Genomic DNA, 25,939 nt, shown 5'->3' on the forward strand with positions numbered 1-25,939 from the left:
GTCTCTTTCGCTGCGTCCAATTGGGAAGGAGGTGACAGCTGTAGGCTGTTGCTCACCACTCTCCCTTCAGCTGGTCAGTAAGTCCTTGAAAAGAATTCTGGTTCTTTGTACTTGTTTCTACTGCAGTTGTGCTGGGGCACAGAGGAGAAAGGAATGTTTGGTGAAGATGGTACAGATAAGATTTGTTTTTCATGAATTCAAAGTTCAAGAGGGTAATATCAAGGACCTGGGAAAAGGAACGGAGTGAAAATTTGAGTCAGAAAAAGAAAATCCAGAACATTATGGGTGTTAGAACACAGGAGAAGATAGAAGTTTTCCGTTTGGAAGATGATGAGAAAAGTAGAAATAAGGGGTATCGTTCACTTACACATTTCTAAGCCATTTGGCCCCATGATTTTAATTGCAGCTGTAAAGAGAGGTGAGACAGTTGTTTGTGGAGTTAGACCTATTTGCTCCTGATCTAAAAAAACTAAATGGCAGCAATGAGCAGCTGCAAATGAGCCAGTAATTCTGGGTCCTGCATGGATATTTAAACTGAGGGCACGGTGTTAATGTTTCTGTGTCCGTATTTTAATCCTCTTAGCTGACTTGGGAGACTTAAGTCTGAGACTTAACAGAGCCTGTCAGAGCTGATGGGATAATGTAGAGCAGATTTGCCATTCTCACATACAAGGGATGCCAGTTCTCTAGAGCCTTAATTTTAACACAGAGCTTAACATCCCTTAGGTCAGCCACTAATTCATCAGAATTAAGAGGAATGAACAGGTGCAATTTTCTTTGTAGTAAAAAAGTTAATAATAAAACTGTTAGTGTGCACTGTATGCAGAAATTGAGACCACTTGGATATTTGCCATGTGGCTTGTAGCCTCAAAAAAGTATTTTTTATTTTTATATCAAATATCACTTATATATATGTCTATACTTTCAAAAGAAAAATAGTATACTGCTCTATGAAGTTGTTTTCATTGAACAATAGGTAAATTACATCTTTCTATGTCAATGAATATATGACTAAATTATGACCACTTATATTTCATTGATGACCACTTGTATTTCATTATACAGTTTTGTCATAATGCGTTTAGGAAGTCCTCTGCATTTAAACATGTTATATTTTTTGTTTTTGTATTTTAAAAAAAAGGTCTCCAGTGACTCTTTTAGTCCCTTTATGCCTGTGGACTTATACAATTATTTCTTTACATTAAATATCTAGAAGTTGAATAGCTGAGTCAAAGTATCTAAATACATGTTAAAAGTTACCCAGTTGCTCTCCAGGAAAGCAGTCTAAATGTCTTACCTGACCCAAATCAGGTAAGAATGTTCTACAACCTTCCCAATATTGTAGTTAAGAGTTTATTTCATCTCTGCCAATTTCATGCTCAAATATTGTATCCCTTTTTAAAAATGTTATATTTTATTATTAGTGAAATTGACTATTTTGTTGTGTGTTTTTTGAAAATTTATTTTAATCTTTTGTGAAATTACTTCCATGTGGTCTTAGCTTATTTCTCTATTTGTATTTTTGTCCTTTTTTTTTTTTTTTTTTTGATACAGAGTCTCACTTTGCCACCCCACCCAGGCTGGAGTGAAGTGGCGTGATCTTGGCTCACTGCAACCTCCGCCTCCAGGGTTCAAGCGATTCAACTGCCTCAGCCTCCTGTAGCTGGGATTACAGGTGTGCGCCGCCATGCCTGGCTAACTATTTTGTATTTTTAGTAGAGACCAGATTTCACCACGTTGGCCAGTCTGGTCTTGAACTCCTGACCTTGTGATCCACCCACCTTGGCCTCCCAAAGTGCTGGGATTACAGGCATGAGCCACTGCACCCAGCCTTTTTGTCCCTTTTTTTAAAAAAGCATTGCATATATCAAGGATATTCACTCTTTGCCTTACTTTATGTATATATTATCTTTTTCATGACTCTTTTTATGTAAAAGTTTGTATTTTAAATTAAAATTTTTAATTTTCCCAATTCAAACCAAAGTTCCCTATGGTCTAATGCTCAAAATAATCTGCCACATTCTAACATAAATACTTATAGTTTGTTTTTCATAGTTAAAAATTGTAATACGTCTGAAATTTATTCTAATGCCAGAGTTTAAGACATCTGAACATATTTTTTTTCTTTCAGTTAGTGAGACACCTGACCCAATAGCATTTATTGAATAATTAATTTTTTTCTCATTGATATATACTCGGTATGATTGTGGTCTTTGAATCCTTTCATATTAATTTATCTCTATATTCTACCCTCATAATTATACTGCTTTAATTACTGTAGCTATATTATATATTTTAATATCTTAAAGAATGGCTGTTAATGCATTCTTTATATTAAAAGTTGCAACTCAAATTTTAGAAATTGCAACGCATACTAGCTGAAACAAACAGTTCAAGCTCATAGAATCTAAGAAAGGTTTGACAACCTTGCTTTGATACTTCCATCAAGGCAGCAAGGACTCAAGAACAAGGGAAACTGGAAGGAAACCCTAAGGCCCTTCCTCCCTGGACGTACCAGCCTCATTTTCTCACTATTCTTATTGTCAGGGTGGGAAACATGGCTATTGACGGCTTTTAGTTTAAGGCTTTAACTCTCAGATTGAAACTAATTTCAAATTCTGTCTATGGGCTGGTTAGAATTTTCTGGCAAGGAACATATTAGCTCAGCTCAGGTTTGGCATCCACCATTTTACATAGTCCATGCAGACAAGTACCTGTGAGGATGATTATGTCCTTGGTGGAAACTTTGTAATGAGTTTTGAAATGCATTAGTAGGTTCATAAATATAAACAAATTGTTTCGAAGTTATGGTTAGAATTGTGTTTGGTAAAATATTTTGACAAGGGAAATGCAAAATGTTTAAGTAATTATGACAATGCTTTTGTTTTCTCTTGTTTTAATGTTATATTAAGTTTGCTGTTTAAAAAGTGGGTCTGCACAAATGGTTTAAGTGTGTGAAGTACATGCTTGGTATTGCTTATGAAAGAGTGTCTTTAAGCTATGTGAATTTGTTTAGAAGTCCAGAAGTTTTTTATGACAGAACAATGGGCAGCCATGACCTGGTCACATAAATCAGGCATCCAGGCTCTACCTACAGTGGTGAGTAGTGAAGGAAATACTTCCTACACATAAAACTGGAAGATTGGAAGAGGAAATAGAGATTCTTTTATTTATTTATTACTGTAAAATAGGTTGGTGCAAAAGTAATTGTGGTTTTGCCATTACTTTTAATGACATGCAAGAAAATTCTGTTTTCATCAAATTAAAACAAGAAGTGAGATTTAATTATGACTTCCATTTTTACTATCATTCTATGATTCTTAACCTTCAGCAAGTCTTTCTAGCTCTCATAGCATTTGTTCACAGTCTAGTCTTTTTTCTTGTCAGTCTCACCTCCTAACCTGTCAGCTTCTTTAGGTCAGGGACTTTCTTATTTCTCTTTGAGAGCTAAGAAGCAAAACACTGTTTTTAAACATGTTGGTGCTCTATACATGCTTTTTATAAATAACTTAAAAAATAAAGATAGAATAGATATAACAGAATTTAGAGTGGACTAGAAACTAGGTTACTTATTTTTATATGTTCAAGTATTTTACATAATTACATTTTATATGAATTTTTTCCTTAGGCCTTTCTTTCTTTACTGTAGTTCTACCGGTTACTCATATGCTACATACCTTGTAGAGAGTATAACTCATATCTTCTTTTTCTATTGAACTGAGGCATTTTTTTCTCCCTGAAGTGTGTTCATGGAATAGACAAACTAAATATCATGTATTAATCAACAGGTGTTTTATGCAGGATATTATTTCATAGTATAATATTTCATAGTGGGAGAAGAGTTCACTAAGATATAATACACAATATTGCCAACTTAACCTCACATCAAATGAGCAAACAAGCATAGGCATCCAAAGGCTTTGGGAGGGTTTATATGCTCTGTGAAAATAAATGCCCTCAAGATTAATGTTCTATGAATTTGGAACTTAGATCGCGCTCCTAGAGGGAAAGTAGATAATCAAAAATGTACTTTCGATTATAAGCTTCATTATAGTATGTTCTATATACAAGCAAGTGCGCAAGGGTGCAACTGGGTAAGTTTTGACATATATGTGCACCTGTGGGACCACAAATTATCCCCCAGAGTTCCCTGGTGTCCCTAGTTCCCTGGTGCAACTCTTGTCTTTCCCAGTCCCCCTCCCCAGGCAACCACTTATCTGTCTTCTGCCACTGTTGAATAGTTTTCATTTTCTATAGTTTTATATAAATAAAACCATATGTTATATATTCCTTTTTTTTTTGGTCTGGCTTCTTTCACTAAGCATAATTATTTTACAATTCACCCATGCTTTTTATGTATTATTTTTTCAAGATTCACTCATGCTTCCTTCACTAAGTATAATTATTTTGAGATTTATTCATGTTTTTCATATTTCATTAGTTCATTTCTTCTTATTGCTAAGTGTTATTTTATTGTGTAGATATACCACAGTTTGTTCATCCTTTTACCTCTTTATGGACATTTGAGCTGTTTCCAGTCTTTGGCTATTACAAATAAGGCTGCTCTGAACTTCATATGTAAGTCTGTTGGAAGTTGACTTTCTTTTCTCTTGAATAAAATATCTAGGATTTGGATGGCTGGATCATACAGTACATGTTTTCTAAACAATTGATTTATTCATTATTTGTTGGTTTATTCATTAACGTCCTCCACCCATCCACCAACTACCACAATATTCGCCGTTCTAACAGGAGGATAGTGGTATCTCATTGTGGTTTTAATTTGTGTTTTCCTCATGACTAATGATGTTGAGTGTGTTTTCATGTGCCTTTTCACCATCTGTGTTAGTTTCCTTTGACTGGTGTCATAAACTATCACAAATTCGGTGGCTTTAAAACAGAAAGTTATTCTCTCACAGTTCTGGAGCCTAGCTGCCTAAAATCAGTTTGCCAGAGTCAAAACCAAAGTGCTGGCAGGACTGTGCTCCCTCCAGAGGCTGTAGGGGAGAATCCACTTCCTTGCCCTTCTCAGCATTCAGCGCAACATTCCTTGTATTCCTTGGTTTATGGCCTCTCCCTCCATTGTCAAGGCCAGTGGCGAAGCACCAATTCTCTCTGACTCTGCTTTCCTCTCGTGGCCTTCCTCTCTTCTTGGAGTCAAAACATCCTGTGTCTGCCTCTTATAAAGAACATGTGATTGCATTTAGAGCGTTTTTGGTTAATCCAGGATAATCTCCCAATCTCAAATTCTTTAATCACACCTGCAAATTTTTATTTTGCCAAATAAGGTAGCTTTCACAGGTTCCAGAGATAAAGATGTGGATAAATTTTATGAAGCCATTTTTCAGCCTACCATGCCATTTATTATTTCTTCTTTGGTAAAGTATATGTTCAAATCTTTGGCTCTTTTGTTTGTTTGTTTTGTTTTCATCAGGTTATTCCCTTTTAATTCTGTTTTGAGAGTTTTCTTTTATAGATTCTGGATATAAGTTCTTTACAGGATATGTACTTTGCAAATATGTATTTGTACTCCCAGTTTGGCTCTTCCTGAATTATCCTAAAAGTGTTTTTTGAAGAGCAGAAATTCTTAATTTTTTGAAAAAAATTTATTTCAATAGTTTTTGGGGTAAAGTGGTTTTTTGTTAAATATCTGAACTATAGAGTGGTGAATTCTGAGATTTTAGTGTACCTATTATGCAAGCAGTGTACATTGTACGTAATATGTAGCTTTTTATCCCTGGCCCCCTTTCTACCACCTCTCTCTGAGTCCCTAAAGTTCATTATCTCACTCCGTATGCCTTTTCATACTCACTGCTTACCTCCAACTTATGAGCAAGAACATAGTTTTTGGTTTTCCACTCCGGTGTTACTTCACTTAGAATAATGGCCTCTAGCTCCATCCAAGTGGCTGCAAAATACATTATTTCATTCTTTTTTTATGGCTGAGTAGTAGTCTATGATGTATATATACCACATTTTTCTTTATCCACTCATTAGTCAATGGGCACTTAGGTTGGTTCCACATCTTTGCAAATGTGAATTGTGCTGCTATAAACATAGGTGTGAAAGTATCTTTTTCATATAATGACTTCTTTTCCTTTGGGTTGATACCCAGTGGTGGGATTGCTGTATTGAATGGTAGATCTACTTTTAGTTCTTTAAGGAATCTCTATACTGTTTTTCATAGAGGCTGTACACATTTACATTCCCAGCAGCAGTGTATAGGCATTCGTTTTTCCCCATATCCACACCAACATCTCTGGTTTTTTTGACTTTTTATAATGGCCATTCTTGCAGGAGTAAGGTGGTATCTCTTTGTGGTTGTAAGTTGCCTTTCCCTGATACTTAGTGATGTTGAGCATTTTTTTCATAAGCGTATTGGCCATTGGTATATCTTCTTTTGAGAAATGTCTATTCATATCCTTTGCCCACTTTTTGAATTTTTTTTTTGCTTGATTATTTGTTTGAGTTCCTTGTAGATTCTGGATACTAGTCCTTTGTCAGATGCAGAGTTTGAAATTATTTTCTCCCATTCTGGTGGGTTTTCTGTTTACTCTGATTCTTATTTCTTTTGCTGTGCAGAAGCTTTTAGTTTAATTAGGTCCTATTTATTTTTATTTTTGTTGCATTTGCTTTTGAGGTCTTATTCATGAATTCTTTTCCTAGGCAGATGCCTGGAAGAGTTTTTCCAACGTTGTCTTCTAGAATTCTTATGATTTTAGGTCTTATATTTAAGTATTTGATCCATTTGAGTTTATTTTTGTATAAGGAGACAGGGATCAAGTTTCATTTTTCTATATGTGGCTTGCCAGTTTTCCCAGCACCATTTATTAAATAGGGTATTCATTCATCAATTTATGTTTCATAGGCTTTGTTGAAGATCAGTTGGCTGTACATATTTGACTTTATTTCTGGGTTCTCTATTCTGTTCCAATGGTTTATATGCCTACTTATTTTTAGCAGTACCATGCTGTTTTGGTAACTATAGCCTCACAGTATAATTTGAAGTTGAGTAATGTGATGCCTCCAGATTTGTTCCTTTTGCTTCTGATTGCTTTGGCTATTTGGGCTCTTTTTTGGCTCCATATGAATTTTAGGATTGTTTTCTCTAATTCTGTGAAAATAATGTTGGCATTTTAAGGGGAATTGCATTGAATCTGTAGATTGTTTTGGGCAGTATGGTCGCTGTCACAGTATTGATTCTTCCAATCCATAAGCATGGTTGTGTTTCCATTTGTTTGTGTCATCTATGATTTCTTTCAGCAGTGTTTTGTAGTTCTCCTTGTAGAGATCTTTCACCTCCTTGGTTAAGTCTATTCCTAGGTATTTTTTTTTTTCTTTTGAAGCTGTTATAAAAGGGATTGAGTTTTTTATTTGATTCTCAGCTTGGTCAATGTCGGTGTATAGCAGTACTACCGATGTGTGTAATTGATTTTGTAACCTAAGACTTTACTGAATTTGTTTTTCAAATCTAGGAGTCTTTTGGAGGAGCCTTTAGGATTTTCTAGGTATACGATTATATCATCTGCAAACAGCAATAGTTTGACTTCCTCTTTTCCAATTTGGATGCAATTAGGATGTTGCCTAATTGCTCTGGCTAGGACTTCCAAAACTATGCTGAAAAGGAGTGGTGTAAGTGGGAATCCTTGTTTTGTTAATGTTCTCAGGGAGAACGGTTTCAAGTTTTCCCCATTCAGTATGATGTTGGTTGTGGGTTTGTCATATATGGCTTTCATTATTTTGAGGTAAGTTCTATGCCTAGTTTGTTGGGAGTTTTTATCATAAAGGGATGCTGAATTTTGTTGAAACATTTTTCTGCATCTATTTGAACTGCATCTATTGAAATGATCATAATGGTTTTTTTAATTTTAATTTTAATTTTTTAATTTTTAATTTAATGTATTTTAATTCTTTTTATGTGATGCATGTCATTTATTGACTTGTGTATGTTAAATCATCCCATCATTCCTGGGGTGAAGTCCACTTGACCATGATGCATAATCTTTTTGATGTGGTGTAGGATTCAGTTAGCTAGTATTTTGTTGAGTATTTCTGCATCTATGTTCATCAGGGATATTTATTTGTAATTTTCTTTTCTTGTTGTGTCCTTTCCTGATTTTGGTATCAGGAGAATACTGGCCTGATAGAATGATTTAGGGAGGATTCTGTCTTTCTCAGTCTTTTGGAATAGTTTCTGTGGGAATGGTACCAATTCTTCTTTCAATGTCTGGTAGAATTCAGCTGTGAATCCATCTGGTCTTGGGCATTTGTTGTTGTTGGCAATTTTTAAATGACTGATTCAATCTTGCTGCTTGTTTTTGGTCTGTTCAGGGTTTCTATTTTTTTCCTGATTTAATCTAGGAAGGTTGTATGTTTCCAAGAATTTATCTATTTCCTCTAGGCTTTCTAGTTTGTGTGCATAAAGATGTTCATAGTAGAAATACAAAAATGATCTTTTGTATTTCTGTGGTGTCAATTGTAATGTCTCCAGTTTCATTTCTAATTGAGCTTACTTGGATCTTCTCTCCTTTTCTTGGTTAATCTAGCTAATGGTCTATCAATTTTGTTTATCTTTTCAAAGAGCCAGCTTTATGTTGCATTGATCTTTTGTATTGTTTGTTTGAATTTCATTTAGTTCTGCTCTGATCTTTGTTATTTCTATTCTTCTGCTAGCTTTGGGTTTAGTTTGTTCTTGTTTCTCTAGTTCCTTGAGGTATGACCTTAAGTGGTCAATTTGTGCTCTTTCAGACTTTTTGATGTAGGCATTTTATGACATAAACTTTCCTCTCAGTGCTGCTTTTGCGGTATCAGAGAAGTTTTGAATATCATTGTGTTATCACTAAATTCAAAGAATTTTTATATTTCCATCTTGATTTCATTGTTAACCCAGAAATCATTCAGGATCAGATTATTTAATTTCCATATATTTGTATAGTTTTGAGGGTTCCTTTTGGAGTTGATTTCTAGTTTTATTCCACTATGGTCTGAGAAGATACTTGATGTGATTTTGATTTTTAAAATTTATTGAGACTTGTTTTGTGGCCTGTCATTTGGTGTATCTTAGAGAATGTTCCATGTGCTGATGAGAAAAGTGTCTATTCTGTAGTTCTTGGTTAGAATATTCTGTAAATATTTGTTAAGTCCATTTGTTCTAGAGTGTCATTTAAATCCACTGTTTGTTGACTTTCTGTCTCAATGATCTGTCTAGTGCTGTCAGTGGTGTATAGAAGTCTCTCACTATGATTGTATTGCTATCTCATTTATTAGATCTAATAATAATAGTTTTATGAATCTATGAGCTGCAGTGTTAGGTGTATATAAATTTAGGATTGTAGTATCTTCTTGTTGGATTGATCCTTATGTCATTATATAATGACATTTGTCTTTTTTCACTGTTGTTGTTTTGAAGTTGTTTTGTCTAAGAATAGCTACTCCTGCTTGCTTTTGGTTTCCATTTGTGTGGAATATTTTTTCCACCCTTTACCTTGATTTTTTTTTTTTTTTTTGAGACATAGTCTTGCTCTGTCACCCAGGCTAGAATGCAGTGGTGCAATGTCGGCTCACTGCAAGCTCCGCCTCCCGGCTTCATGCCATTCTCCATCCTCAGCCTCCCGAGTAGCTGGGACTACAGGCATCTGCCACCATGCCCAGCTAATTTTGTTTTTGTATTTTTTTTTTTTTTTTGAGACAGAGTTTCGCTCTTGTTGCCCAGGCTGGAGTGCAATGGCATGATCTTGGCTCACTGCAACCTCTGCCTCTGGGGTTCAAACGGTTCTCCTGCCTCAGCCTCCCAAGTAGCTGGAATTACAGTCATGCGCCACCATGCCCAGCTAATTTTGCATTTTTAGTAAAGACGGAGTTTCTCCATGTTGGTCAGGCTGGTCTCGAACTCCCGACCTCAGGTGATCCACCCGCGGCCTCCCAAAGGGCTGGGATTACAGGCATGAGCCACCACACCCAGCCTTGGTTTTGTATTTTTAGTAGAGACAGGGTTTCACCGTGTTAGTCAGGATGGTCTCGATATCCTGACCTCGTGATCCGCCCACCTCGGCCTCCGAAAGTGCTGGGATTAAGGCGTGAGCCACCGCACCCAGCCTTACCTTGAGTTTATATGAATCCTTCCATATTAGTTGAGTCTCAAAGACAGTAGATATTTGGTTTGTGATTTTATTTTTAATCCATTCTACCATTCTGCATCTTTTAAGCAGAGCACTTAGGCCATTTTCATTCCACATTAATATTGAGATGTGAGGTACTATTCTCTTTGTCATGTTAATTGTTATCTAGATAGCTTGTACTTTTTCTTGTGTTACTCTTTTATAGACCCTGTACATGTTAAGCTTTCAAGGGGTCCTATTTTGATGCATATCAAGGTTTTGTTTCAAGGTTTAGAATTCCTCTTAGCATTTCTTGTAATGCTGGTTTGGGTGTGATTAATTTCCTCAGCATTTATTTGTCTGAAAATAACTTTATAGCGCCCTCATTTGTGAAACGTAGTTTTTCTAAATACAAAATTCTCAGCTGACAGTTATTCTGTTTAAAGATGCTGAAGATAAGAACCCAATCCTTTTTGCTTTGTAAGGTTTCTGTTGAGAAGTCTGCTGTTAGTCTAATAGGTTTTCCTTTATAGGTTACATGATGCTTTTGTCTTACTGCTTTTTATGTTGACTTTAGATAGCCTGATGACTATGTGCTTCAGTGATTATCTTTTTGCAATGAATTTTTCATGAGTTCTTTGAGCTGCTTAGACTTGGATAGTCAAATCTCTAGCGAGGCCTGGGAAGTTTTTCTCAATTATTCCCTCAAATAAGTTTTCTCTTCTTCCTCAGGAACACCAGTTATTCTTAAGTTTGGCTGTTTTACATATCCCATATTTATTGGAGATTTTGTTCATTTCTTTTGATTGTTTTTTATTTTTGCCTGATTGGGTTAATTCAAATGCTTTGTCTTCAAACTCTGAAATTCTTTCTTCTACTTGTTCTAGTCTATTATTAAAACTTTCTACTTCTTTTTATAATTCCCTAGTGTGTCTTTTATTTTCAGAAGTTCTGACTGGTTTTTCTTTATGATATCTCTATCTCTAGAAAACTTTTTATTCATACCCTGAACTGATTTTCAAATTTCTTTCTGTTGTTTTTCACCTTTCTCTGGTATCTCCTTGAGTAGCTTAATAATCAACCTTCTGAATGCTTTATCTTTTTTTTTTTTTTTTCTGCGATGGAGTCTTGCTCTGTCACCCAGGCTAGAGTGCAGTGGTGTGATCTCGGCTCACTGCAACCTCTGCCTCCCAAGTTCAAGAGATTTTCCTGCCTCAGCCTCCCAAGTAGCTGGGATTACAGGAGTGTGCCACCATGCCTGTAATTTTTAGTGTTTTTAGTGTTATTTTGTATTTTTAGTGTTATTTCAAAGATTTCATCTTGGTTTGGATCCATTGTTGGAGAGCTAGGAGCTAGTGTGATCTTTTTGGGGTGTTACAGAACCCTGTTTTGTCATATTACCAGAGATACTTTTCTGGTTCCCTCTCATTTGGGTAGACTATTTCTGCTAATTATTCTTGAATTTATGTTTTATTTGACTGTGTTGTTTTTAATTTATTTTTCCACTTAAGGATGAGAATTTAATGCTTATAGTTAAATATAGGCTAATTTGATTCTTGGTGCATTCATGGCTGAAGACTCTGTACGAGTTCCTTGGTTATAGAGAGTCTTTGTATAATGGCTTTCTCATGTGCTGCTTGTAGTAGCAATGTGCTCAGTGTGTGGGCAAGTTCACTGTCTCCTATGAGGTTGGAAGGGGAGAGGTCTCTTGAAGCTTATCTCATAACCCGTGGTGTGCACTTATTTATTTATTATTCCCCATTATTTTATTTACTGGTTTGATGGTTCAAGCTTCAGACTAGCAGGGGAGGTATCCCTGGATAGGAACTGGATGTGGCTAAAGCAGGTGTGTAAATGCAATATTCAAGGGTGAGCAGAGGTCCCAGCCTGGACAGAGGTAGCTGGAGGAGCTTTCAGTGAGTCACACCAAGCTCTTCTCAGGGTGAAGAGTTGGAACCACCTCAGCTCCCCTACCAGGTCAGTAGGAAAGCTATCTATCTCTCAGACACACTCCTGTCCCAGTGCTCTGGCTATTCGGATCAGAGAGGCACCTCTTTTCACCTGTAGGAATGTTGATGTTTCAAGTAGAGAGGAACTGGGACTCCGTCTCTCATGCAAGCCTGAACCTGGAGCATGCTCCTTCTGCAGGGATACAGTCATCCCGACATGTTCCGGAAAGGCTGCCTATAGTTGCACTCATGCCAAGCTCCCATGGGAGAATCCCCAGCTATGCCTGCGGTGTTGTACGTTGGGGGAAAGATATCCTCTTCTCCAAGACCCTTCACACACACAAGGACTGTCTGACTGTTGGGTTAGAGCTGCAGTTTCCCTGCTGAGTCCAGCACTGCAACTGTGCCTCTGCTGAAAGAAACTTCCTGCCAGCAGAAAGATCCATTGCTTAAGGCCTGCCATCCAAATTCTTTTGTCCCATGGGGTGTTGCCTTGATGTTGTGCACTCCCCCTTGCCCTAGTAGTGGGAATCCCTGTGAGCCAGACTACTGTGAGTGTTGTTGCTCCTCTGGGTCTAGCCACCCAATGAAATTGCCACACTCCAGGCTGGTGCTGGGGAATGTCTTCAAGGGATTCAGTGATGTGACCTGTCCTTAAGTCTCCCAGCATAGGTAACAGCACCAGCTCTAATGAAGGTGGCAGGAGAATGACACAGACTCTGTGAGATCCCTTGGTTATATACAGCCTTAGTGTTTTGGCTTTCTCGAACACTGGTTATAGTGGTAAAGAACTGGTCATGTGGACAGACTCAGGACCTCCTGGTTAGCCTGAGTGGTGCAAGCAGTGGTGATATTGAGGTTACATCATAGTCTTCTCCTTCTTGAGCACAGTGTTATTCTACCAGGAGATGCTGTAACGGACTTTTGTTAGCCTTCAACCAGGAGATGGTGCTTGCAAAAGACTAACAGCTGTAATAGTAGCAGTGGGATTTTTGCTTGCCTTGTGTTGTCTGGGATGAAGGGTACTCTGGTTTCTCAGGCAATGGGTGGGGCCATATAGCTCCCAGAAGTTTATATCCTCCTGGGACACAAAGGCAGGTGGCAGGGTAAAGCCAGGTGGGGGCTGGGTCCGGTGAGTTTGCACTCTGAGTCTCCACATGCAGGGCAAGTACAACCCCTCTGGGTGTTGGAGGATGGAGTTGGTTTTCAGGTCAAATGTTCCAGAGGGGATTGTTGCTGCCTCTGTGGCACAGAAGGGTTTGTGCAGGGAGTGGGGAATAGCAGGTATCAATAAGCCCCACACAGACCCCATGCATTGGGTGAGGCAGATCCACTCCTGCAGTGTTCCACTGGCAGCACTGAGCTACTTTCCAAACAGCCTGCACTCAAAACTTATAAATGCTCCAGGTCATAAGCTTTTCCCATGGAGAGAACAACCTGGCTTTCAAGCCACGTCACTCCCAGTCCATCCACAAAGCTGGGCACCCAGCTGCTGCACTCATAGCTGCAATCCACTTTTCACTTGCCTCCCACTGGCCCTGGCCAAGGGAGTTTGTGCCCACCAGAGATTATATCACGAAACCCAACTGTGGGCTTCTTTCAACCTGCAACCACTGCCTGAACTATTTGGTTGACCTCCACAGGGTTCCCTGTGAGAAACAATATGGAATGGCTTCCCTTGGTTCATGCTGGAGACTGGGAATGCATGCAACAGTTTTCCCACAGCTGCTCCTACTTTTATATTCCATAACCCTCTCCAAGTCAGTTCCTGCACTGAGTAAGGGTAAGGCCTTCTCCCTGTGGCCTGGACTTTCAGGCTCCCTGGTAGGAGTATGTATCCTAGAGAAAATCTCTTCCCACTCATACTCTGGGGACTTGTAGCCCTTTACCTGACTCACAGTGTAGACTGTGGTATAGACTGCAGCCTGCTGTTTCCTTCAAAGAGTCTGTGGATTCCTTCAGCTTTCCTGTTTAGTTCCTGCATTGCTTCTTGAAAAAAGGTTCACAGTGTGAATATTTACATGCTATTCTGTTCTTCCAAATGAGAGAGGCATGCTAGCAATGCCTCTAATCTGCCATTTGGGGCAAAAAATGAAATTTTTAATTTCATTTAAGCCCAATTCATTAATTTTTTATGCGGATCATGCTTTTGGTGTTCTAAGAAATCTTTGACAACCCAAGATCATGAAGATTTTCTTCTATGTTTTCTTCTAGAAATTTTATAGTTTTAGGTTTTACATTTAGATTGATGATCCATTGTATGTTAGCTTTCATATGTGCTACTAGGTAGGGATCTAAGTTCATTTTCTTGCCTATGGATTTCCAATTGCTTGAACACCACTTGAAAAGCCTGACCTTTCAGTATTGAATTGCCTTTGCATTTTTGTGAAAAAAAAATATTTCTGTGTGGGTCTATTTCTGGATGCTCTATTCTGTTCCATTGATATGTCTATCTTCATGCCAATGCCACACTGACTTAGATTACCACAACTTTATAATAAGTTTTGAAATCAGGTGTTATTAACCCTCCAATTTTGTTCTTTTTCAAGGTTTTGTCTATTCTATATCCCTTATATTCTTCAAGAGAATCTTATAATGTTTGTCAAATCCTTTCACAAAATAAAAGCAAAAGGAAACCCCTGTTGAGAATTTTATATGGTTGTGTGGAATTATAGATCAATTTGAGAAAAACTGATGTCTTAATATTATCAAGCCTTCTGACCTATTAACTAGGTATATCTCTCTAAATTCACTTGTAGTTTTCAGAGTACTGACATTTATTCCTTTATATTCTTTATACCAAATACAGTACCATGAAAGAAAATACGGTTGTGATACCAATATTAAAACTTTAAACCTTTTTCTGAATGTGTATATATCTCTGAAATTGTATTTTATTTGGCCAAAATATACACTTTGCCTTTCGGGATATCTTTCTATTATTTTAAAAGGATTTCTGTCAATATATATTTTTCCATTAAAATAACCATTTTCTTAAACTTGATTTTTACAGCATTTTACACAGTTCATTTTTTATGAGAATTTTTACACACTACATATATAATTCTCATCTATTTTTACATCATGTAGTTTGTGAAGTTAAAGATTTGGCAGTTAAATGGCTTAACAAGTTTTTCAGATTCACAGCTAGTCATCAAAAAAGCCAAGTGTAGAAGTATAATACCTATTTCTTAGCATTATAGGACACTTGATTGTGTTCCAGTAAATTAACTTTGAATTTTTTCCCATTTTTAGGGATGATGAATTAAGGTTTTAAACAATGTAACAATGAAGTGCATTTCTTATCTGCTTTGCAGTTCAGTTAGCATAAGGAAAAAACTTTCTTCTTACTGATTCTTAGAGGTTATCAAACAAAAATCTTAGGATAATTGCCATCCTACTTATCAAAGGGCAAAGCCCAGGGTTATGATCTTATGAACAAGTAGTCAGTTTTGAAGGGACTGATATGAATTTGTGTAATCATCCCTCTAATTGTTTTATTACAATGTTTATTTTTTCCAAAGAATTAAGATAAATGGTAATTGGTACTACCTAATAGTTAATTAATTTAACCTAATTAAATACCGTACATTTCAACAAAACATGTAACTCCTTCAGAGGTGCAGTTTTAGCAATATGCCTGAAGTTTCAAATATTATGCCATGATGCATGCAAAAATGATTAAATTCTTCTCACTAAAAGTGCTTTCTGTTTTATACGTTTCAAGGTAAATACCATTTTAGGTTGTAGCATCTTATGATTTCTAAGGTAATGTTGATTTTATCTTTGATGCAGAAAGCAACTGTCACTGGGAATTGACTAAGCTTTTTGTTGTCAAAGGTTACTACTATTTTTACACCACTCTGGTATGCCAGTAAATGTTTCTCACTTCATTATCACGCCGAGGCCTTTATAATATTGCTAATACAGGATGAAAATATTTATTCACATTTGGTTTGGATGTTTGCGAGCATGAATGATTGTGGGGAATCAAATGTAGTTGTTAAAAAAGGGTTTCCGCTGATGAACAACAAAATCCCTCAGAGCTATGGGTACAAGTATTTTAAAAAGGTACATTTATTTGATTACCACCAGATGTTTGTAGTGTGTTCCAGTTGCTTCCCTATTAACTGACTTAAAAAAATAGTCATTAAGCCAAGACTTCTTCAACTTTCTAAACAAGACTGAGTTTTTTTAAAATATAAATTCAAATGTATAAAGTATTTTAAAAATACTAAATTATGTTTTTAGCATTCAGCTTATTTTGGAGTTAAGGGTTGACTAACTTCAATTGTTTGTTATGTTGCTTTTTGCTAGGTTAGAAATAAGTATTTTAAATATGTGGCAGAAAACCTTCTAAAGCACCTAAATGAGCCATTATTAAAGATCTGACTTTATTATTATTTATTATTAAAGATTAGACACTGAATGTGTTTAGATGTATACTTCAGAGTTTTTCTAAAATACTAAATTCCCACATTTTTACTTTCCTAAAAACAATGTTGGACTTGTTCTAACCAGCTTTACTTGAGTTTCTTTCTAAGTTGCTTACAGGGCGAATGACTTAAATCACTGTTGTTCAGATTGATAGTATATGATGATTTAACCCTGAGAACTCTAGTGCTGTGTATTTTGGCTTCATTCCAAGTCACCCTGAGCTACACATAGGGTATACTTTGTCTCTTCTGAAATCATGAAAACTGCAGTTTCAGGTTATGTGCTACCTGCTTCAAAATAATAAACTGCCCTATCTATTGCCTTCATGCATGAACCTATAAAGTGTTTCCCATGATTCCTTTAAAACTAAATTGGGAACGTGTTCTGTCAGTGGATATTCATTTCAGTGGATATTCATTTAAGTGTATGGGTTTGCATGCTGTTGTTATATCTGTTTTAGAAGTGGATTTTCACAGGAAACTAGCAGTGTTTCCCTGTAAAATTTAGGTCTAATTTCATGTAGATAATTATTGCTGCCTCTACCTTTTCTCTAAGTGTGTATAATTGAACACACAATTACTTATTTGTAATCCAAGTTACTAAGTAGAGTTTCAAGCCAAGAGCTTCTAGCATAAAGCAGTCTCTTTGGTTAGCATTTGAATATGGAAGCCACACTACGTGAAGAGTATATTTTAAGATTAACAATGTTTTGGAAGCACTTTTAAAAGAAATCTTATGACTACGTTTACAACTCTCAGGCTTAAATCAAAGGACTTGCCTTGCTGGAGAAGATCTGAGAGATAAGAACACATAAAGCCTCAGTGGTAAATCAGTTTGACATAAATAAGGTTTCAAAATGTTTAAATTCAGTTTAACTGGGTTTTTCAGTTTACAGAATGCCAAATGATTTGTTTAACAAAACATTTCATGATATTTCTCTAAAGTTTCAGTAGAGAGAAAACCAGAAAATAAGAAACATGACTTTTGAAATTTAGAAAATCAAATCGAATCTGTATTAGCAGCTTTAACGGACATGAGAATTTTTAATTTTCTATTTTCAATCTTTCATGTATACTCAACAACTTTTATAATAACTGTAATATTTGAGATATTTGGGGTGTTATATTTGAAAACTATCTTAAGGCCATTTTGGCAACATAGACATTTGTATCTCTCTCTCTCTCTCTCTCTAGATACGGGTAGGTAGAGTTACTTATCTCATACGTAAAATAGATATCACATATCTCTTGGTTGATCATTTTGAAAATTAATTTAGAAAACATAGTTTAAAATATGTGTTTTGATGACAGCCTATAGGTCCAGAAATAATATGTTATGTATATGTATATGTGTGTGTTTAAACACATGTAATATATATGCTTTATCTCAGAGAATATCCTTTCAAAAATATAGAAACTTAAAAAACTAAAGTTACTTTAAAAGAGTACATTTTTAAAAATAATAAACTATCATTCGATTTACTGAATATGTGTTAAATCCACATTTCAAATAAGACACGATGAGTTTATATTGTTTTGTGATATCTCATCCAAAAGAGACAAAGCAGACTAAAAGAGAGGATAAGGGTTTGGGGGGCAAAATGGTTCTGAGCCCCCAAAAGTCTTTGGAAAATTTTGATGCTCTGGGGTTCAGTAACTGAGCAGGAGGCTCCACTTTCTTGTGAAACTACCCACAAGATTGACTTGATTCTTCAAACCTTCATCTCTCTAGTTCTTGTGACTCTTGGCTTAGCATCAATGGTCAAATTAAATTCTTCAGGCCAGGAGAAATAGAGGTGGCCCTTACAGGCATCCCCCCAACAAACAATCTTAGACAGTATTTTATCAACCGGGAAAGCAATATTTACAGATGCTAAAAGATAAAAGGCTTTCTAAAAAAAAAAGAAAAAAATTCAAGTGTCAAACAAGCAAAGGAAAAGGAAGAAGAAAGTTACAGCATTGGCTGACTTGAGGGTCTTAGCAAGAATTTTCTAAATCTACAATAATGATATTTCAATAATAAGTTTTTGATTAGTTAGATGGTATAATGTCAGTAGGATAGAATAGCCAAAGTTATGCTGATAGCAAGGCATTAAAAGATATTTAGAGCTGGGACCAAGGTGGTGCCTCACGTCTGTAATCCCTACACTTTGGGAGGCCGAGGCAGGTGGATCACTTTGAGCCCAGGAGTTCAAGTCCAGCCTGGGTAACATGGCGAGACCCTGTCTCTACTTAAAATCCAAAACCAGCTAGGCATGACGGCAAGCGCCTGTAGTCTCAGCTACTCTGGAGGCTGAGATGGGAGGATGTCTGGAGCCCAGGAGGCAGAGGTTGCAGGGAGCCAAGACTGTGCCACTGCACTCCAGCCTGGGTGACAGAGCTATACCTTGTCTCAAAAAAATAATTAAAAAAAATACTTCATGGGCAGAATGTAGAATATTTGTTAAACTATTTGTTGGAGGAGTTTTAAAGAAAATGAAGGAAGAAAGAAAATAAGAAATAAAAACAGGCTTATTTAATGAGCCCCTTCTAGATGCCAGAACAAAATATAAATTGAATAAATAATAAAAATAAATACTACCTATTTTAAGACAGAAAATATATTTGAGATGTTTCTACTCATTTCTTACTAAGAATCAAGTCAGCAGTTGGGGGAAGAAATAGATATATCACAGAAATAATTCATTTATTCAAATTTATTTTTGTTAGTTCGCAGAGTAAGAATGCAAATGTCTTGGATTTCATTCTCCAGCAATTAGCAGTATATTTTTAAGCCAGTTGGAAAAAATGCTGTTTCTGGGATAACTAAAATCTTGCAAATGAAAACTCAAGATCAAATAATCAGCTGTGCAAGGTGGTTCATACCTGTAATCCCAGCAATTTGGAAGGCTGAGGCAGGTGGATTGCTTGAACTCAGGAGTTCAAGACCAGCCTGGGCAAAAAAGTGTGAGACCTCATGTCTACAAAAATAAATAAAATTATCCAGGTGTGGTGGTGCACACCTATAGTCCCAGCTACTTGGGAGGTTGAGATGGGAGGATCACTTAAGCCCAGCAGGTCGAGGCTGCAGTGAGCCATAATCACACCACTGTACTCTAGCAAGACCCTGTTTAAAAAAAAAAAAAAAAGAAGAAGAAGAAAAATCTATCCATATATAAACTTCACTATATTGCAACCAATGTTTTTGTTGGCAAAAGCAATTTTGATATAGACAAGAGATCCCTTCTCTATAGTTTTTCAGAGATTTTTCTCTCCAGGGATTTATATTCTAGAGGCCTAAAACAAAAGTAAAAGTAGACTTAATTCATTCTGTTTCCCTGTCTTTTCTCTTCTTCTTCCTTTTAGCCTAATCACCAAATATTTATTTTTGGGCACTGGGCTAGGTGCCATGGAACAAGAGATGAATAAGACATAGTCCCTGCGATCAAGAGGTTTATCATCCAGTGGGAGAGATAGAATAAATAAAAAAAAAAATAAAGTGTTGTGGCTTTTTCATAAAAATATGTACCTATGGGGAAAAAGAAGGAAGAAGTTAGTTATATATATTAGTCTGCTTTGTCTCTTTTGGATGGTAGTTTAGATAATTATGAGCTTATATTTGCAAAATGGGCAAAGTGAAAAGAGCGTTCCAGGTGGAAGCAACAACACAAACAAAAGCAAAGGCTTAAAATAACAGGTGTGTGCTGAAACCCACCCCATGGAAGGAGGCCATGCTTCATGGCATAAACAGGCCCAGGGAACTCAGTTTGTGACAGCAGGGAGAAATGGAGGCGTAGGTGAGGGTGGTTTTCCTTGCTTCATGGGTATATACTGCATTGGTACCTATGGCCGGTTGAGGGATGAGGGGTGGAAAGTGAAGGGAGGATGTTTGCTTTCTTTCTCCATCACACCCTGAGTTTTCACTGTAAGAAGGAAGGGAATGAGGGAGCCTCTATTCCCTGTCTTTCAGAATGGGCAACCAGTTCTCTTCACCACCCCCAGCTTATACTCTTCCAGAGTGTATCTTTAAACATTGGGACTGTTTTTATCTTCAGAACCTGGAGGAAAAATACTTCATAGCCCTCTGCACAAAGGCTTGGCCAAATTGTGATGTATAGGAAGGACCGGCTTGGCCTCAGGAAGGGACCATTCATTTTGATAACATCCAGCAGTTGGAACTTCTCTGTAGATGTGAGGACACATGGTCTGAGGCCCCATATGCGCAGGCTTTGTTTTGGGGGAAAATGGCGGTCAGATTCCTCCCTGAGGTTTATCTAAGTGTTCCTAGCAAAGGAAACTTTGTCCCCTCCTCTTTCTCTCCCTTCCCCTCCTCTTTCTCTCCCTTCCCCTCCTCTTTCTCTCCCTTCCCCTCCCCTCCCACTTCCCACCTCCTCTCCCCTCCCCCTTCCCACCTCCTCTCCCCTCCCCCTTCCCACCTCCTCTCCTTCCCCCTTCCCCTCTCCCCTCTCCCCTCTCTCCCCTTCCCTTCCCCTTTCTCTCCTCTCCTCTCTTCTCCTGTCCTCTCTGTCCCGTCCTGTCCTGTCCTGTTCCATTCCATCTCTATTCCTGTCATCTTTGTTGTTGTTTGTGCTGGGAAAGTCTGTGCTGGGAAAAGGAGTTTGGGCCAATTTGGTAAAAAGAAATTTGTTTCTTTGTATATCCATTTATTCATTCAACATACATTTATGTAGTACCTACATTATGTTCCTGGGAAATGAAGAGAAAATGACTTGATCCATGGCCTTAACTTGTCTATTTTACAGCATAGTGGGGAGAAGATATAGGAACTACTACAATACAATGTAATAATTCCATAATGAAGGTATGTATGAGCTGCAGAGGAAATGCAGAACATAGTAAGTACTTGAGGTCAGACTTAAAAAAAATGAGTAATTTTCTGTGGGGAGAGGAAATCAGACAGAATAAATACATTTTATATTCAAAATTTCAGACAAGTTAGGGAACCTGGCATGTTTAAAGAAAAACAAATGGCTTAGAACGACCTGAGGAAGATAGATGGGTGAAACCATTGAAGCTAAGTGAGGGCCAGATTTGGAGAGGACTTCATGACAAAATTTTTAAGAGCTATGATCTGATCAGAATTGCATGAGCAGAGTAAAAAAAAAAAAAGGAACTAACATTAGTTAAGCATGTGTGCTAGCTCTGTAATGACTATTTTTACTCTTTTCCTCTTTTTTAAGAGATGTGGATCTCTCTCTGTTGCCCAGGCTGGAGTTCAGTGGTGCAATCATAGCTCTCTCCAGCCTCGACCTCCTGGGCTCAAGCAATCCTATCATCTCAGCCTCCCCAGTAGCAAGGGGTACAGGCACATGCCACCATACTTGGCTAACTTAATTTTTTTTTTTTTAAGAGACAGGGTTTCACTATGTTGCCCAGGCTGTTGTCAAATTCCTGGCCTCAAGTGATCTCACACCTTGACCTCCCAAAGTGTTGAGATTACAAGCATGAGCCACCACACCCGGCATGTGATGACTCCTTTGGATATAATATCTCAGTATGATCCAGTGGGAAGAGCACAACTTTGAGTCTAGACAAACTTGGGTTCAAATCTTAGATCTTCTTCATTAATTTTAAGAGTTGGGCCAATTATTTAAGTTCTTTGAACTCCTACCCTCTTCATAATGTTTAATTCATAACCTGCAGGCTTGTTATAAAGAACAGATGCTAGGTGTAAAATGAATAACATAGGAAGTATAGCTATATTGTTACTACTAATAAACTTTGTTAGAGCCAAAATTCAAAGCCATGCTTCATTCCAAAGAATACACTTAACACGGACCTAGTCAATAGGAGGCTGCAGCCCTTTGGCCAGAGTGCTTTGTTTAGCAGTGAACACACAATTCATTCTGAGTACACCAAAGTTAACCCCGAGAATTATACGGGAGTTGTGATCTAACAGCTGTGTTTTTCTGATATATTTACAGCAATGAGGAAGTAAGTGTAAAAATCACTTTTTACCACCATGAAGCATGAACCAGCCAAGAAGTAAAGCCAAAATAGAAGGAGGCAGAGTGAGGAAAAGGAGAGCAAGTCCTAGTTCAGCTGCACCTAAGTCAGTACAAGCAATGAGCTTTTTTTAGGTAAATGAGCTAAATACTAGTAATAACTACAATAATAACAACAGCTTTTCTTTAACTCAACTTGCATTGAGTCTTCAGTCACTTGTATCCAATAGTACACTGACTAATTAAATTGGAATGAGCAACCTAGAAGCTCACTTTGGAATAGCAATAATGTAGACCTGGAAGAGTTTTCATCAATAAGGGAAAGAAACTAAATATGAGGAAGTGAAGACAGTCCATGTAGACTGCTTGTTCTAGAAGCTGATCTATTTTTAAAAAATTACAAAGGAGAAGATTCAGTAGCTAGAGTGGAGGCAGAATCGAGGAAGTATTTATTCCTAAGATGGGAGAGACTTGAGCATGTTTATGCACAAAGGGAAAGATGCCAGTGGAAAGGAAAAGGTTGACAGTACTGAGAAGAGAGTGGATAATTAATGGCAGAAATCCAGACGGACACAGAATGTGATGACTATTTCTGTTGCCATGAAATCTCTAGTAAGGTCTAGGGTCTGCTCAGACGGTAAATTTGACTGAAAGTGTTCAATATTTTTATTTTTTATTTATATATCTATTTTGGCTTTTCAGCATGTCTATTATTTTTATGTCTCCTCTAGTCTTGTCTACTGTCCTAAAATCAAGTGAAGTCTGATAATACCCCACTGTCCCCACCAAAAGCAAACAAACACAAAAATAAACAGAACTCAACTAAACCTCCCTATTCAAACTAGTGGAGATCTTCATGGCCAAAGAATACCCCAGATTACTAAAGGCATCTCAGAACAGTCATTTTGCAGGCTTTCAGTTTCTGCTTTCCTTTTTTGCCTGCAATTTTGCACAATCAAATGCACAAAAACAATGGGAAAGGGGATTACGTCAAATGTACGAAAGAAATGGCAGGAATCCAGTGGGAAAGACATGCCCTCCACATTTGGCAGGAGGCGTGCTGGGAGGCAGTGGCTTTGCAGAGTGATGAGTCACACTTGAACAGAGGCTCTGGAAGGAATTAGTTCAAGAGAAGGCTGGAGAGCTCCCTGAAATGTATGAGTGCCTCAGGCCATTAGCAATGTGTGTGTGATCACAATGAGACAAAGGAAACCCTGAGATCCGCAGACTTTCTTTCAGGAACCAGCAGAGTGTCCCTAGCTGCTCTTTCCTCCCTGGTGGGTGTAAAACCACAGCCCTTCTGTTTTAGTGGGAAAACGTTTCAAGAGGACCACTTTTTAGAAAACTTTGTCTGGGCCAAAGAATGCAATATGAGTGTAAAATACGTAAATAGATAAAGCAAGCCATGACTCTGAAGGAGAGATTTGATCTGCTCAAAGGTCAATTGGGCCACAAAATTAATGAGCTTGAGAAAGACAGGACAAGAGATGGGAGAGAAGAAATCTGTGTGTTGAACTCTGCATCAATTAACAAAAGCAAGTAAGTATCTGACTGGCAGCAAATTAGCTAGCATATGGACGAACTCTAAAATAACCAGGCATAGAACAAAACCAAATTTAAATATCAGACTTATCTATTGAACGGTATTGCAAATATCAAATGCCTTGTACTATAAATATAAAGCTCCCAATTCTTATGCTAGTAAACTGCTGAATATTTAATACCTTGAGAAGGGGTGGGCCACGTTTTTGAAATAATGTTAAAAGTATATAAATATAAATATCTATCTACATAAATAACATCTATGCTGATCCTGTTTATGTACAGTTTCACAGCATTCATGTAACTTTGCGAGCAGTAGTAAAATTCTAATTCTACAAGAATGAATTACATTTTAAGCTTGTGATATAGAATAACATGACTCTTTGTTACACTGTATGTTCAGATTTTGCCAGAAAATAAAAGAGAAGTGAGGTTTTTATAGGCTGAATTATCAAAATGTCACCTAAAACCCCACAAATTGGTTTTTAAGTGAAGTGCTATGAAATAAATAAAATTCTCTAGTAGACAATGCCGTTGAGTTTGTCAGTTAGTTTATAAAGTATCACGTGATAGAGCATTGTGTTTCTAAAGCATTAAATAATAGATCAAATGCTATGGCTATTGAAGGATGGATCAGTGCTGGATCACCTAAAATAGATTAAAAAAAACTGCTAGTGTAGAGGCAGTTGTGCAATAATGTCAGAACGCAAGTTCAGAGTGTGCCAAAACATCTGCTAATTTCTAGCTGTTATAATATAAAACTTACTTTTTTCATTTCAAAAGACCAAAAAGTACTTGAGATGAGAGGAGGGAAATGTCTTCACTTTGGGGACTTACGGCGAAGACACAAAGTCCTTACAACACAATTGTGATAAGATGACTTGAACATTTCATTATTCTACTTTCATTTACTTAGGAGAATAACCTTGACACTAAATTAATGTAGAATAAAATGGAAGTTTCTACAAAGTGTAAACATCTCTACCATGTGACTAGAATGATGTCAGCAAAACTAGTGATCTGAGGCCAACAGTGAGCTGTGGAAGGATGTCCTCTAACAATAATTGAAGGGAGTGGGCTGGTTTGGCTTTGACTTTTAAAAATTACTAGAGATGCGTGTTCTATGTCTCTCCTGCCATTTGAAAGGCACGTGTGTACATGAGAGCTGATTGTGTCCATTCTCCCTTTGCATGATAATTCTTGGCCCTTTGCCTGGTTTACTTTAGAGTTTGTATTACCTCATTATTTATATTTTTCTCCAAAGTCCTGCTCTGAAGAGCTTTTCCTGAATGTGATTTTTCTGTCTCCATCTTCAGAGTTGGCCATGCAGAAATCTAATAATGTCAAACCATTGCCCTCAAGGATGTGATAATAATGACTTCTGCTTGGAGATGGCAACCAGTTAATGCAGTATACTCAGGAGGGCTTTTGAAAGACTGCAATACAATTTCCCCATTTTACAGATAAAGAAACTGAGGTATATTTGAAAATGGAAGAAATAACAATTTTAATGGTCAGATGCCAAAATATTAAGGTAAATAAGAGCTGACATCTGCTATGCATCATATCCTGTGCGAGATGCTAGGCTTTTTAAATGTGTTAATTCTAATTATTCCATTAATTTTGTAAATTAAACGGGACTGTTTCCATTTGTTGCTAGGTGACAGGGCTGGGATTTGACACCAAGCCTGTCTCCTTCCAAAGTCTGTTCTTTATGATATCACACAATGCTGCCTCTCCATTGAAAAGATAAGTTTATTATGTTTTTAAGTAGTAGATTGCTTCTTAAAGCATTTTATTAACTATTGTTTTATCCTCAAAGAATCTTTTCAGTTTAATAGGTATTGTTAACTTTTTGTTATAGAAAAAGAAACTGAGGTAAATGAAGACCCACTGACTTGCTTACAAAGGTTAATCACGTTATGGGAAATAAAATTCAGGTCTTTTGTGTTGAAAGACTGTGCCATTTA

At 37.1% G+C, this 25,939-nt stretch overlaps 2 long non-coding RNA genes across 2 annotated transcripts, besides 2 other annotated features; both read left to right on the forward strand.

Moving 5' to 3' along the window:
* The first annotated feature begins 2,919 nt into the window (after positions 1 to 2,919).
* LOC105369686 (uncharacterized) lies at positions 2,920 to 23,063 on the forward strand. Its single transcript, XR_931417.2, has 3 exons — positions 2,920 to 3,099; positions 21,225 to 21,283; positions 22,407 to 23,063. It is a non-coding gene; the product is annotated as an uncharacterized LOC105369686 (long non-coding RNA).
* Positions 22,789 to 23,530: an enhancer, noted in NCBI's record as "OCT4-NANOG-H3K27ac hESC enhancer chr12:20365093-20365834 (GRCh37/hg19 assembly coordinates)". NCBI's record gives its function as "activates a minimal SCP1, AML or CMV promoter by ChIP-STARR-seq in primed H9 embryonic stem cells {active_cell/tissue: H9 hESC(primed)}" and the evidence as "EXISTENCE:reporter gene assay evidence [ECO:0000049][PMID:30033119]".
* Positions 23,071 to 25,939, forward strand: LOC105369687 (uncharacterized). Its single transcript, XR_001749039.1, has 2 exons — positions 23,071 to 23,966; positions 25,286 to 25,939. It is a non-coding gene; the product is annotated as an uncharacterized LOC105369687 (long non-coding RNA).
* Positions 23,531 to 24,271: an enhancer, noted in NCBI's record as "OCT4-NANOG-H3K27ac hESC enhancer chr12:20365835-20366575 (GRCh37/hg19 assembly coordinates)". NCBI's record gives its function as "activates a minimal SCP1, AML or CMV promoter by ChIP-STARR-seq in primed H9 embryonic stem cells {active_cell/tissue: H9 hESC(primed)}" and the evidence as "EXISTENCE:reporter gene assay evidence [ECO:0000049][PMID:30033119]".

The sequence above is a fragment of the Homo sapiens genome, chromosome 12 (assembly GCF_000001405.40).
Source record: "Homo sapiens chromosome 12, GRCh38.p14 Primary Assembly".
Lineage (NCBI taxonomy): Eukaryota > Metazoa > Chordata > Mammalia > Primates > Hominidae > Homo > Homo sapiens.